This window comes from Homo sapiens, chromosome 6 (assembly GCF_000001405.40).
Source record: "Homo sapiens chromosome 6, GRCh38.p14 Primary Assembly".
NCBI classification, from domain to species: Eukaryota; Metazoa; Chordata; class Mammalia; order Primates; family Hominidae; genus Homo; species Homo sapiens.
In genome coordinates, this window is record NC_000006.12 from 161,027,678 (window position 1) to 161,041,206 (window position 13,529).

General features: G+C 37.6%; 1 protein-coding gene across 7 annotated transcripts in view, besides 2 other annotated features; it reads left to right on the forward strand.

Moving 5' to 3' along the window:
- MAP3K4 (mitogen-activated protein kinase kinase kinase 4) overlaps positions 1-13,529 on the forward strand; it is a 125,612-nt gene that overhangs the window by 35,909 nt on the left and 76,174 nt on the right. For all 7 annotated transcript variants that reach the window (NR_120425.2, NM_001291958.2, NM_005922.4 and 4 more), the window contains exon 2: positions 6,582-6,772. Coding sequence is in view for 5 of the 7 variants with exons in the window: in NM_005922.4 (NP_005913.3) it covers positions 6,582-6,772 (191 nt within the window). In the remaining 2 variants the exon portion in view is untranslated. The remainder of the gene's footprint in view (positions 1-6,581; positions 6,773-13,529) is intronic.
- Positions 1,735-1,834: an enhancer, noted in NCBI's record as "active region_25409". NCBI's record gives its function as "activates an Ori minimal core promoter by ATAC-STARR-seq in GM12878 lymphoblastoid cells {active_cell/tissue: GM12878}" and the evidence as "EXISTENCE:reporter gene assay evidence [ECO:0000049][PMID:35858748]".
- Positions 11,115-11,184: an enhancer, noted in NCBI's record as "active region_25410". NCBI's record gives its function as "activates an Ori minimal core promoter by ATAC-STARR-seq in GM12878 lymphoblastoid cells {active_cell/tissue: GM12878}" and the evidence as "EXISTENCE:reporter gene assay evidence [ECO:0000049][PMID:35858748]".

Here is a 13,529-nt window from a genome sequence, read left to right on the forward strand (position 1 = left end):
TGATTAAAACCCACTCATGGGTTTAAAGCAAAAATAAAATGTAAGGTTTGTATGTGTGGCAGTTACATATTACAGTTTAACAAACCATACCAATGTTTAACAGCTTAAAATAAAAACCATTTATTAGCTGTCATGGTATTGAGTGGTTTTTCTGCTACTTACGGTGTTGGCTGCAGAGCAGGGACAAATGGAGATCCAAAATAGCCTCACTCATAGGGTTAGCAAGTTAAGTTGGTGCTGGCTGTCAGCTGGGAGCTCCCCAAGTTTGGGCTAGCTAGCTTCTCCTTCATGCACTTCTCCACCTAAGTTGGGCTCCTTACCTGGTGGCTAGCTTTCCCAGCAGTACACAGGTGGCCTTCTTAAGGTTTAGGCCCGGGACTGGTCCAGTGTCATTTTTGCTACATTGCTTGGGTTAAAGCAGTCACAAAGTCATTCCACATTCAAGCGTAGATATGCAGGTTTGTGACCATGAGGAGGCCGGTTTCATCAGGGACCCCCAAAGTAACAGCTGCCACAGTATATTTTTTTTGTCTGCATGTTTCATTGTTAATGTTTTTGTATGTATGTTTAATTAACTGTCCAAGCACAAGTTCCAGTGGCATTGGATAAGACTTCTAAATTAAAGTGTTTACAAGAAAACAATAATTTGATTAAAACTTGTATTCTTACTAGTAAGTGTGGGGGCGTAGGGATTTCATTATTGGCAAAAATCAACAATCCTTCATTCTTGTAGCCTTTAAAAAATATATTTTAAAAATAGTGAAATGTTATTGTATTTTAAAAGGATTTGGATAATGATTAAATCCAAAGTATAGAAGATAAACTTACTTGATTTGTTTATTCAATCAGCAAGTAGTTTTGAACACATAATCTGCACCAGCCACTGTTCTAGACACCGGAGAAGCAGTGGTAAGGATGACAGGCTCCTGCTCTTCAGTAATTGTTGGGGAGATAGCTTCTTATTCATTTCCATAGGAAATCTTTTTTTTTTTAAATCTACATTTGTTTTAAAAAGATGAATTTTCATTAAAAAACAAGTCTAAATGTCTATCTTGAAAAATAAGCAAGATTAGTTAGGTTTGTAAAGACCCTATGCTCTGAAACAGTGCAAAAGTTAGATAGTACATGTTGGATAAGCTCGAGGTTTGACCGTTCACCTGGAGGTGAGCTGATAAATGTTCAGCTGTAGATTGATGATAAAGATAACTAACATTGATAAATTGACTCGTGTAATATGGATAACTTATTAATAAATTGGCTCTTGTAGTATGAACCAAACATACAACCTCAAACTGAGCTTAGCTCCCTTTGATTAATACTTCAGGCCAAGCAAGCTATACACATTGTTTAAAGAAAAAGGAAACCTAGAAAATCTATCCCTTCTGCCTATGTCCCTCCTCTCTTTCCCCCAATAGCAGAAATCTCCCTAATACTTATTACCTAATAGAGAATAGGTGGAGGTGGATGAGAGAACTTCATACAGATGAATATTATACTTCACAAGTGGTTAAAATATCCATTTATTTCGAAGGATGTCGCTAAATGAAGTGTTTTGGGTTTTTTTGGCGGGGGTGGTGTTGGGGGGCAGGGGTGGCTTTTGCAGAACCACAGATGTTTTCAGACTCATCTAATCCGACTTCATCATTTTACAGATAGCTATTTCAGGCACCATTGTGGTTTACCTAATATGTCAGAGCAGAACTATTTAACCCTAAGTAACTTGAATTTTTGTTTTGTTTTCTTTTCACACATTTTTCCTCTAAAACCTACACCAAACTCCCTTGGGTTGAGTTCAAGACATACTTTGCCTAGACCAGACTGTAGTGTAATAATAGTACTTTAGCAGGGTTTTATGGTAAAAGAGTGAAATGTTTTACGTGACTGTCAGAAGTTTAGTACCAGAAAGACATTTCACATTTGCATGTTATTAAACACAAGTAAGACAAATGTTTCAGGGCAGCTGATGTAGACCTTGTACTACTTTGCTCATCCCAAATCATTGGTATACATGTAAACATTCTGAACTGGTCGGCTGACCACATTAGCTCATCTCACATGAACGATTACAAAATGAGGTTTTGGATGCTTACGGTTAGTTAATTGAAATGATGCAAGTTCTTTTGAACTTACCACTAGTATTTTTCTGGATTTTGTGTATAAGTGTTTTGTTTGTTTGTTTGTTTGTTTTAAAGAAAAAAGAATAAAACTTTGCTTGATTTCTTTCCCTCCTATTAATATGTTACTTCTAAGCTAAGGCCCTCAAACTAAGTTTTCTCTGGCTGCTTTTAATATTCTTCTCTTCGTCATTGGTTTTCAGCAATTTGGTTATGATGTACATAACAACAGACTGGGAGTTTTCTTTATAGTTCTTTAGCTCAGAGTTTGTTGGATCTGCGAGCTTATGGTTTTCTCCAGATTTGAAAAATTTTCAGCCCTTCTTCAGAGATTTGTTTCTGTGCCTCCCTTCTCTAGTTTTGGACTCCAGTAACACATGGTTAAACTGCTTGATACTGTCACACAGGGCACTGGTACCCTGTTTTTTTATTTCTCCCAATCTTTTTCTCTCTGATTCATTTTCAATAGTTTCTGTTGCTGTGTCTTCAAGTTCACTGATGTTTTTCTGCTGTGTCTGGTCTGCTGTTAAACCCATATTTCAGATATATTTTTTATCATTATAATGTCTACTTGAGTCATTTCTGGTCTGTTTCTTTGGGTTTTTCTCCTGGTTTGGATCATATATTTTTTTCTTTGGTATTTTTGTTTGTTTGTTTGTTTGTTTGATTGAGACAGGGTCTTGCTTTGTCACCCAGGCTGGAGTGCAGTGGTGCCAGCTCAAGTGATCCTCTCGCCTCCGTCTCCTTGAGTAGCTGGGACCACAGGTGCATGCCACCACACCTGGTTAATTTTTTGTATTTTTTGTAGAGATGGGGTTTTGCCATGTTGTCCAGGCTGGTCTCAAACTCCTGAGCACAAGCAATTTGCCCACCTCAGCCTCCCCAGGTGCTGGGATTACAGACATGAGCCATTGCACTTGGCTGGTAATTTTTTGATAGGATGGAAAACGTTGTGAATGTTATTTATTAGGTGCTAGACTCTTTTTAAAAGAAAGTTTCTTTAAATACTGTTGGATTTTGTTCTGACATGTAGGTGTTACTAAGTTGCTTGGATGGAATGTAAACCAGTATCTTTTCCAACAAGTGAGAATACCATGTTGACTGCATTAAGTAAATCCTAAGAAAATATTAAATTCATTTTAATTACGAATTATAAGTATAGTGGCTGGTAGTACCATATGACATTTTCCTAACTCGTTTTCTGTGATGCTTAATGGGTAAGGAAGGATAAAATATACTGTGTTTTGTCTTATTTTAATATTTTGTTTATGACAGTATTCATCTTCGTTTCAGTGTGATTTTTAAATGTTTACTGCTAGAATAATTAGATAATTTAGAAATACTTTGAAGTCAGTAGTTGTTCATTGTGTCTATGTGAATGTATAAGGATAAGACAGATGACTTTTGGTTTTGTAATAAATGCAGATCGGAAAACAAGGGACTGTTAGCTTCTATAGAATTATTACAAGGATTTATTCTTGTACTTTTATTTGACAGTACAGCCACATTAATTTTTCCATGTGTAGAGAAATAATTTGTCTACAGTTGGAGGTTAGCACAACACAAATATTCTTCTGGGTCCCCAATGTAAAGTCTTCATAAAAGTTAGCCTTTTTATTATATGTACTTTCTTAGACCCTCTTTATCTGCTAAAGCACAGGACTCAATTCCCATGGCATGTAGATCCCACAAAGGTACTTCTTTATTTATTTTTAAAAAATCAGCTGTGCTTGTCTTTTTAGATCGTGACGCTCCTCAGGTCGGGGGGCTTGATATTTGGATCACTGAGGTTTGATATTATCAGTCCCTCCTCACAACAATTCTCCTCCACTTTCACTCTGCATTGCATTAATTCATCATCCACACAGTACTGCTAGATACTAGCAAAACAGACCATTTTATATTTTTCGTAGCCCTTTGTTTCCATTACTTTAATTTTAAAAACACCTTTACAACTGAATTTCCTGAAATGGTTAGAATGTAGACCTTTAAAATTCCAGATTATTAGTCTTAATAGTCTTAGAAAGATTCAATAATGGATGCTTCACCCACCAGGACGGCTGAGACATGGCCTTAGCTTCTGAGTTCACATTCCTCCTCACCACAAAGGATGTGTTTTGAAAGAGATTTTGTTTGCTATTTCGTATCTGACTTCATTTTTCTAATTATCCTGTTATTCACTGCTGTCTGGCTTTGATGTATTTAACTGACTAAACATTTATGCTATAGTTTCCTGGCAGTTACCATTCTTATGTGTTAAGTGCATTATTATGAAAAGCACTGAATGAGAGCCCTATGCTGGACAGTCCTGGAGATTCAAAAGTAATAAAATATAGTCTTTTCTTAGTGTTTCCTTTAAGTATATTAAGTGTGGAAATTAAATGAAAACAGAAACCTTATAATATTGAGTTCGAAAGAATTCAGCAGATGTTTCAGATGTTAAAAGTGCTTCCAGGCCTACACCATGCTCAACTCCTAGGTGAGCTTCTCTCTTAAGGTGAAGCAGATAGATGAGCAAGAACTCAGGTTCCCTCACTGAGCACAGTGACCTCCCAAGGCCTGTGATATGAATGGTATCAAGCATTTAGTGAACACTTACTATATTCTGACTCTTTTGTTAAGTGTACATTATTGGGTTTAATCCTCATAGGAATAAGTATTTATAAGTCTAAGTATTTATTATCCTTATTTTGTAAATGTACACAGAGAGAAAATTTGTCCAAGGTCCACCCAGCTAATAGGCAGTACAGCTAGGATTTAAACGTGGGTCTACTACACCACCAAGGCTATGCTGCTTTTCATTCCAAACAGTGTTATTAACCACTGCAACACATGGAAAATAAATAAATGATTTTGGTGCTTATAGCCATGTTCTTTAATCAGTCAAATCAACTATTACACAGTGAGTATAGAAGAAGTGGGTGTAAGAAATTTCAAGTTAATCTGTAAGATTACACTTTATTGTGTGATGTTATGAGACTTAAATAATGTAGTTTAAGGAAATAGGTGCATTTAAAACGTATTTCTAAATTTGCACATGGTTTGAAGTTAGCTTTCAGGGCATTTAACTCGCATGTCTTGTGTGTACACATATGTTTAGGAGCACATGTGTACTCTCATAAAGTATTTAGAGTGGTCTTTAAAATGCAGTTATTAAAAAATCAGTTTTTGACCTATTAGGGATCTTTTGTAGATTTCAGTACTGTAAATTTTTATAATTCTGCAATATTTTTATTTTTCAAAAGGTAATTTATTTTCTGCAGTTTTGTCAATCTAATTCAGTAATAATGGGATCATACATTGTAGAGTAGCTTTTCTGTTTCCCTTATGACTTTGAAATAGCTTTGATTTTATATCAAGATATGAATTGCCAGGAAGAAATGGATTATATACTGGATATAATTTGGAGTTATGTTTATAAAATATAAAGCATATTTATATAAATATAAAGCATATTTTATAAATGTTCAGAAAGAGGTAGACTGTGATGGTACATATTTGGAAAGAATTTCATGATTGATTCCTTCTGTTTCACTTTTTAAGAATTGTATTTGCTCTCAATTTGTATCATTAAATTTTATTTTGTTAGCTTTGAGAAATTGAACTTTGTCAAAATAGTGATATTATTTGAGAAGTTGGCCAGGGATAGAGAATTGGCAGGCAGTGTTTTTAGAGAACAAATTAATGAGAAATTGCATTTTGAAGGTGAAAAGAAACAATTTTGTTTTTCCTCTTTTACATCATCCTTCTCCCCTGCACCTTGAGTTCTGCACTGTGGTTTTTTTCTTCCCAATTTTTTATTGTGTTAAAATACACATAAGATAAAATTTAATGTTTTAATCATTTTCAAGTGGTTCAGTGGTATTAAATACATACATAATGTCTGCACTGTAATTTTTATCAGACAACTTAGGAAATGGACCTGCCATACTTTCTTGGTACTTCGTGCTTTGCTGTGTGGATCATAGCAAAGTGCTCCTATACATTCTGTTTTCTGTGTGTTTCAAAGACAGAAAGAGGCGAGGCACTGAAGTTCAGAGCAGGACTGAACTTGCCCACTCATCAATTAAGCTGTCAGCAGCTAGCACATAAGTACATTTTTAGTTCTGTCTGATTTGTATCTTCTAGTCCTTCGCTGGTTTTTCCTTAAGGCGTAAGTTTTTAGTTCTATATTTCATTTGTGTTAGAAAGAGCTCTATAAACAAGAGAAACAGAAAGCATAACAGCTCTACCCATGTGGTACTCCTTGTTCATGGTAGGAGAAGCGGCAGTCACAATTATTACTCTCTTCAAGCAAAAGAAAAGTTCTCCTTTTGAGTTTTCACAGGTAAAAATGAGGAGGAGCACAGTGCTGAAGAGATTTTTCTGTACAAAAGTTTTACAAAGAATTATTTAAAAAATTATAAGTAAATTTGAATTCACTTAACTGTGTTGCTGAATATTTTCCCTGCACACTGTCTTTCATAGGCAAGAGGGCACATTGGGAGATTCAGCTTGCAAGAGTCCTGAATCTGATCTAGAAGACTTCTCCGATGAAACAAATACAGAGAATCTTTATGGTACCTCTCCCCCCAGCACACCTCGACAGATGAAACGCATGTCAACCAAACATCAGAGGAATAATGTGGGGAGGCCAGCCAGTCGGTCTAATTTGAAAGGTGAGTCTTGTACTTGAAAAGAGGTGTACATGAGAGGGTATGGCACTTGATTGATTCTTTCAACAATAAAGTTAGCAATTTCTTTTATTTTTAATTTGATTTTAATGCTCCTGTAAAGTTCAATTTTTTTTTGAATTATTACCATTAGTATTAATAAAATTGACACATAGTTTTCCAGAGATAGAAACGTTTGTCCTGAGTAATGGTTAAAGCCAGCAATGCACGGGCATTTGAAGAAGTGAAAGAGGGCAAATGTTTCCCAGTGTACTAATACAAGATGGCAACTGGTTACATGGGATAGATGGCCTTCTATTCTTTCAGTCTCTTAGGCTGAAGTTTCTAGATTTCCTCTGCCCAGAAGTGGTGTATTGGGGATTTGAGGAGAGACAGAGCCAGGCTGTCTTCCCCTGGATTCCCTCTGCTCTCTGCTGGTGCCCCGGGGTGCTATCTTTAGTGTGTAGGGCTCTCTTTTTCATACTAAGCACAGTGACCCCACACCTAACAACCATGACAGAACCTGCTTTCTACTTTTCTCTTTATTTAGGATCGTAAAGTCCACATATTGCTCTATTAGACACGGAGAGTTTCGTGCTTTTTCTTTCCCCCCAACCTCCTTTTAGTGGGACGTAACTGTTCTTTTTTTGTGGTAGATGAATTGAACGATACTGCGCTGCAGCCTCCTTGTACCCTACGTGATGGCCTGGAATCTTGTGGTTTTAGAATTTACCTGTTAATCTCAGCAAACCACTTGTCCTAAAACAAATGCCATATATTCCTGGAATTTATTCAGCTATTACTGCATGAGATGCGGATTTTAGTCTTCATCTTGTCTGAGAAATTTCTTCCTGTTGACCTCACACTCATTTCTACCTCTCCCTTTCTGTAGTCTGTGTTCATTCTTCCTCTTTGTTCTGCTTCCTCTTTCTGTAGATTTCTTCCATATATTGAGCTTTGATGGCTGTTAGTGGCATCTTCACTTTGCATTCCCATCAGAGCCCTTCCTCAAGAGAGCAGGAGGGCAAGAGAAGTGGGTTTTGTTGTGTTGATTTGCTTGAGTGAGATGCTATACAAGGGAAGTTCCCAAGCAGGAAAGAGTCTTTCCCACAAATGATTTTTCCACATAAGATACTTCTTATAAAATTTGATTTGCTGTAATTTTTTAACCTGTGGCCTGTACTTACCCCTTTGGAAATTTCCCACTGCAATTTGTCATCTTGAAAATCATTTATTGTACATTTTCTCAAAGAAATTTCTCAAATGACTATAGAAGTTTCTTATCTATGGTAGGAATCAGTGAAGTAGCATCTACTGAATCAACATTAGTTAATAAATATTTGCTTCGTGTTAGTAAAGTAAGAAGATGCCGGTAGTACACTTGCTTTTTCTTGTTGATTCATACTATTTTAGAACATGAGTTGAGAACACAATTTCCCCATTTTATAGATTGAGAAACTGAGGCCCAGGGCTTCAGAGCAAATCTTTTTAAGTCCAGAAGGCTTGAGATAGTGTCAGGACTATTTGTACCACTAGTTCTCCTGGTACTCTATTTGGACTTTTTCCTAGTACAAGCAACAGTGTTTACGCTTATCCGAAGGCAATATTTGAGTTGACTTTATGGTCTTTCACTAATCAGTGAGACAGCCAGTCACTAGATGTTTGTTGAGGTTCTGTTGTCCTGCTGGTCTGTGCGAGAGATAGAGGGAAAGGAAAGGATTGGCCCTTTTCTTCCACAATTTTTAAAATTGTTTATTTTATGAAATTATAGAATTTTAGAGCCAGAAGGAGCCTCAGAGATCATTTGCTCAAGTTCTTGCCGTTTTTCAGATGAAGAAGCTAATGCTCACAGACCCTTTGATTTATAGCTATCTGATAGCAGACCCAGGACACCAAAATCCTTAATAAGTTATTATTTTTCTTATTGCAAAAGATTATGTGTTTGTTGCAGGAAATTCAGAAAATACAGACAAAAGAATAAAAATCACCCATTAAACCTAATACACAAAAGTAGCTTCTTTTACCATTTGTAAAAGCCTGACTACAGACTCTCTAGCTTTTTGCTATATATGTTTATGCTGTACTATCTTTACTATTTTATAATGGCTTCTTAAATTTAATGTTTTATGAACTTTTTTTGTCACAGAATAGCCTGTACTTTTAATTTAAATGGCTGCTATATCATTTGTAGCAGCATCTTCACAGTTATCATTAGCAATTACTGGGTGCTTACTATCGGTTAATCACTGTGCTTAACACCTCAAAAGAATTATCTTTTGAATAATGTAATAACCCAGTGAGGTGTTGGTCTTATATAATACAAATTTTGAGTATCCCTAATCTACATGCTCCAGAGTCTGAGGCCTTTTGAATACAGACATGATGCTCCAAGGAAATGCTAATTGGAGCATTTTGAACCTCAGATTTTTGGATTTGTGGTGCTTACTCAGAAAGTATAATGCAAATATTCCAAAATCCAAAACACTTCTGGTCCCAAGCATTTCAGATAAAGGACTTTAAACCTGTACTTATTTTACAGCTGAGGAAACTGGCTCAGAGAAGTTTTACGGCTTTCAATTTTAAATGTCTCAGTCACATGTATATTAGAAAGTGGCTTCACATGTATGCCAGCTGGTGAACTATTTCTTGCGGACATTCTTGTTTATGAATACCAAGACAAGGTGGAAATGGGACGCCAGTGGTAGACAAGTGGGCCATTTTAATGTCTTAGTCTTGGTTGTGGTGGTTAATAGTCTTTGAGAATTTATTTGTTCTCAGACTATTGCAGCACAGCATGGTGGACAAAAGCAGAATCTTGGTTGCTTGATCACCCGGACTCCAGTCCTGGTTCCGCTATCTTCTGCGTATGCAGCCTCCATATCTCGTTTCTCTATCTGTAAAATCATCTGCCTTATAGTGTTGTTAGGATTATGTATTCAGTATTAGTTATCATCATTATTATTGTAAACTCAGGATTTCTTTTATTTTTTCTGAGACGGAGTTTCACTCTTGTTGCCCAGGCTGGAGTGCAGTGGCGCGATCTCAGCTCACTGCAACCTCCGCCTCCTGGGTTCAAGCAATTCTCCTGCCTCACCCTCCCGAGTAGCTAGGACTACAGGCATGCGCCACCATGCCCGACTAATTTTGTATTTTTGGTAGAGACGATGTTTCGCTATGTTGGCCAGGCTGGTCTCGAACTGCTGACCTCAGGTGATCCACCTGCCTCAGTCTCCCAAAGTGCTGGGATTATAGGCACGAGCAACCATGACCGGTTGTAAAGTCAGGATTTCTTCCCAACACTTACTACTTTTTTTCTTGACTTAAATCTTAAAGCAAAATTAAATAATTACATTGTTGACATATCCTTATTAAATGGTGTGCCCATTTTTAGGACCCTGAGTCTTAGATTAAATGATTGTCTCAAGTCGTGTAGCTACTGTTCCTGCTTCTGTCCTGCCTGGACTACACATTTCCTTGTATGTCTTCCTAGTCCTTCGCTTTATCTCACTACATAATGCTGCTAGTACATTTTTTTTGTTACTGTTGCTGTTGCCTGTCTTTCCTTCCTTCCATCCTTCCTTTCATCCTCTTCCTTTCTTTTCTTTCTTCTGCCTTTCTCACGCTTTCTCTCCTCACTTCCTTTTTTCCTTTCCTCCCTCTGTTCTTTCCTTATTTCTCCTCCATTCTTTCCATTGAATCAGCATTTGAGTGACTCCATAGGCATGTGCTCTTTTGGAAGATGAATAAGACCTAGTTCCAGGTCAAGTAGGGAGTACACAAATGACCAACAGTACAGGCTCATCTGGATGCACACAGGAGGCAGTATTGAGAAGACCTGGGCTTGGGAAGACTTCTGGAACAAGTGACATTTGTGCTGTGACCTCAAAGCTGAGTCAGGAAGACTAGTATTTCAGACTAGCATGTGACTCATAATAATATATTGGCCCCCTCAGTATTTTGAGGAGCTTTTTAGAATTAATTAGATTGGTCAGATTTATTTAAAAAGCTGTCCAAGGAAATGTGAACTGTTACATTATTTCTTTCTCACTGCAACAGACAAAGGATCTCTGAGTCATACTATTAACTTTAGAACTGCGGTCAGAGTTGGACTCATCTTTTAAATAGTCACCAATAACATTTGCATTTTTCAGATTATCTATTGTTGTGTAACAAACCACTGTGAAACTTAATGGCATGAAAGAGCAATTATTTTATTGCTCATGATTCTGTGGTTCAGGTGTGTAGGCAGGGTACAGGTCATCCCTGTCCCAGGATGTCTGGAGCCTTGGCTGGAATAGCTCAGTTGGCTGGAAACATCCTGGCTTGGCTGGGGCCCTAAGTCTGAGCCCTCATTTTTTTTGTCTGCATAGTGTCTGCTGGATGTCAAACATCCACGATGGCTCCCTCACTCACATATGTGTCTGTTCACTTGGGCTGAGAGAGCAGGAACAGCTGAGGGCTGCTGGCACAGTTTTCTTTCCATGTGATCTTCCTCATGGCTAGCCCAGGGTGGTCCTTGGGTAATTGGACTTCTTACACGGCAGCTGTCTTTCCTCAGAGCCAGTGTTTTGAGAGACTGAGGTGGAAATCGCAGGCCTTCTTAGGCCTTAGCTTCCGCGGTTGTGCAGTGTCACTTCTGTTGTGTTCTTTTAGTTCCATGAGGCTGGCCCAAATTCACTGTGGGAGGCGACTGCTCAAGGCAGCGGTACCAGGTCGGGTTTGTAGGTTACTTTGGGAAGTTAACTGCTACATGCATTCATTGTAAAGCTTTGGGGAATTAGAATCTGGTCAGTCATACTGTCTTTGCTTCCCCTAGCCCCGAACCCGCAAAAATGCAAAAAAAAAAAAAAAAAAAAACATCAAGTACATCCCTGAAGGAATGTAAGGACTCAGAAAGGTAACTGAGGGGACTATTTAGAGGAAGAGATAAGAACCAGCAATACTGGCTTTTTAGCTATGGTAGCCATGCTCATGAACTGATTATACAGGTATGATTCTTGCAATGTTATTACCTCTGTAGGCTCAGAGTAGCTACTATTGTCATGTATTTGTTTTTTATAATTGTAAATTCAGATCTTGAGAAAATTGATAGCCCTAATTGTGGTGCATATGTGTGATTAGACAATTGACTCATTGAAATTATTTGATGGAATTATAATAGTGCTAATTTCCTGCAAATCATTACCAGTGACATGTTAGAATGGGAAGTTATAGACAGGAGAAATTAGAGATAAAACATTGGTACTAAGAAGAATGCCTGTAAATAAGCTCTTAGTTTTGTAAAGATAAGAGAGATGCACACCATAAATACAGCATTATGGAATTTTACAAAGTTAGTTGAATTAGAACATCCAACATATAACTGCTCTTTTCCACTTAGTAATAGGTGGAGGCCATTGTTCTGTGTAAGGACATTTAAAGTAAGGTATTGTTTGGATCATTATAACCATGTTCCCTATAGTGTGTTTCCATAGTTTCAAACAAAAAATACTATTGCGGGGAGCATCTCTGTTCATTTATCTTTACTCATATATGGAGTATTTTTGTAGATTAGATACCTAGTGGTGGAATTGCTGTATTGAATGGTATGTGTGTTTTAATTTGGTAGATATTGTGCGTGTCATTCTGCAAAAGGACAGTTCATTTTGATACTCCTACCAACAATGTATGAATACCTCGTTTCTTTGTATTTTCTGTATTAGTAATATAAAAATCTGCCAGTTTAGCTGTTTAAATTTGCCTATTTCTCATTTTATATTTATCTTTACTAAGGAGAATATAGTTGGGGATTGTGGTTGAATGCATAAGGCCAGTATGAAATTTACTGGAAATATGAGGCTACATACAAGTACTATATATAGACATTTACATGGTGTGTGTGCAACCTACACACACACAGATATATACAGCTTCAGAAATGTCTCACTTGAATCACAGTATTTAATTGAATGCAACTATTTAGAAAACGTGAGGAATCAAAGAAAGTTATCAAAGCCCTATTTATATTGCAATCACGAGGATTGTGGGTCCCTGGAAACTGAATGCAGATTTTATTATGTGCATGTGTGCATTTTTGTAAGGAGTCCATGGTTTTCATCAGATTCGCAAATGTAGTCTGTGACCCAAATAAGGTTAAGAAGCATTGACCTAGATAACATTTACCATGAATTTAACAAAACTGCTCATCCTGACATGAGTTGCACTCAAAGGATAAAGCCATCAGATGCATAGCAAATTCAAAATTAGTGCAAAGGCTACAAGGTCTCTTCCACACTAGCCAAGAACAGAGATAGTCCCCCAACTCCACATTTGCTGGTTTTACAGAAAAGACTTTTTAAAAGGTCATAAATGTCAACAAGTTTGTTCAGTAAGAGGATATTATCTTTGTGCAAATAGGGATAGAAGGGAGGCAGTGACTCCTGTGAGGTCCACCCACTTTCTCCCCATTGATCAAACACTGTTCTGCATGCTGCTGGCCAGTGGGTTCTGCAGGTGCAGTTAACCTCCCTAACCTGTTGATGTTGAGTTAATGAAAGGGAGATTGTCTTCCACGGGCTGGCTTAATCAGAAGCCTGGGAGCCACCTGGAGGAGAAGGTGAAGCAGCCATGTCCAGAGTGTGAGTAGGAGAAGGCTTTGGGTAGGAGAAGGCCAAGGTGGAGCAGAGCTAGAACTGCTGCCCTGGAAGGAGGGCCTGGTGGCTTCCAGCCCAAGGAATAGCAGGAGGACCAGCCCTACCTCCAGCACCTGCCCAAGGAACATATA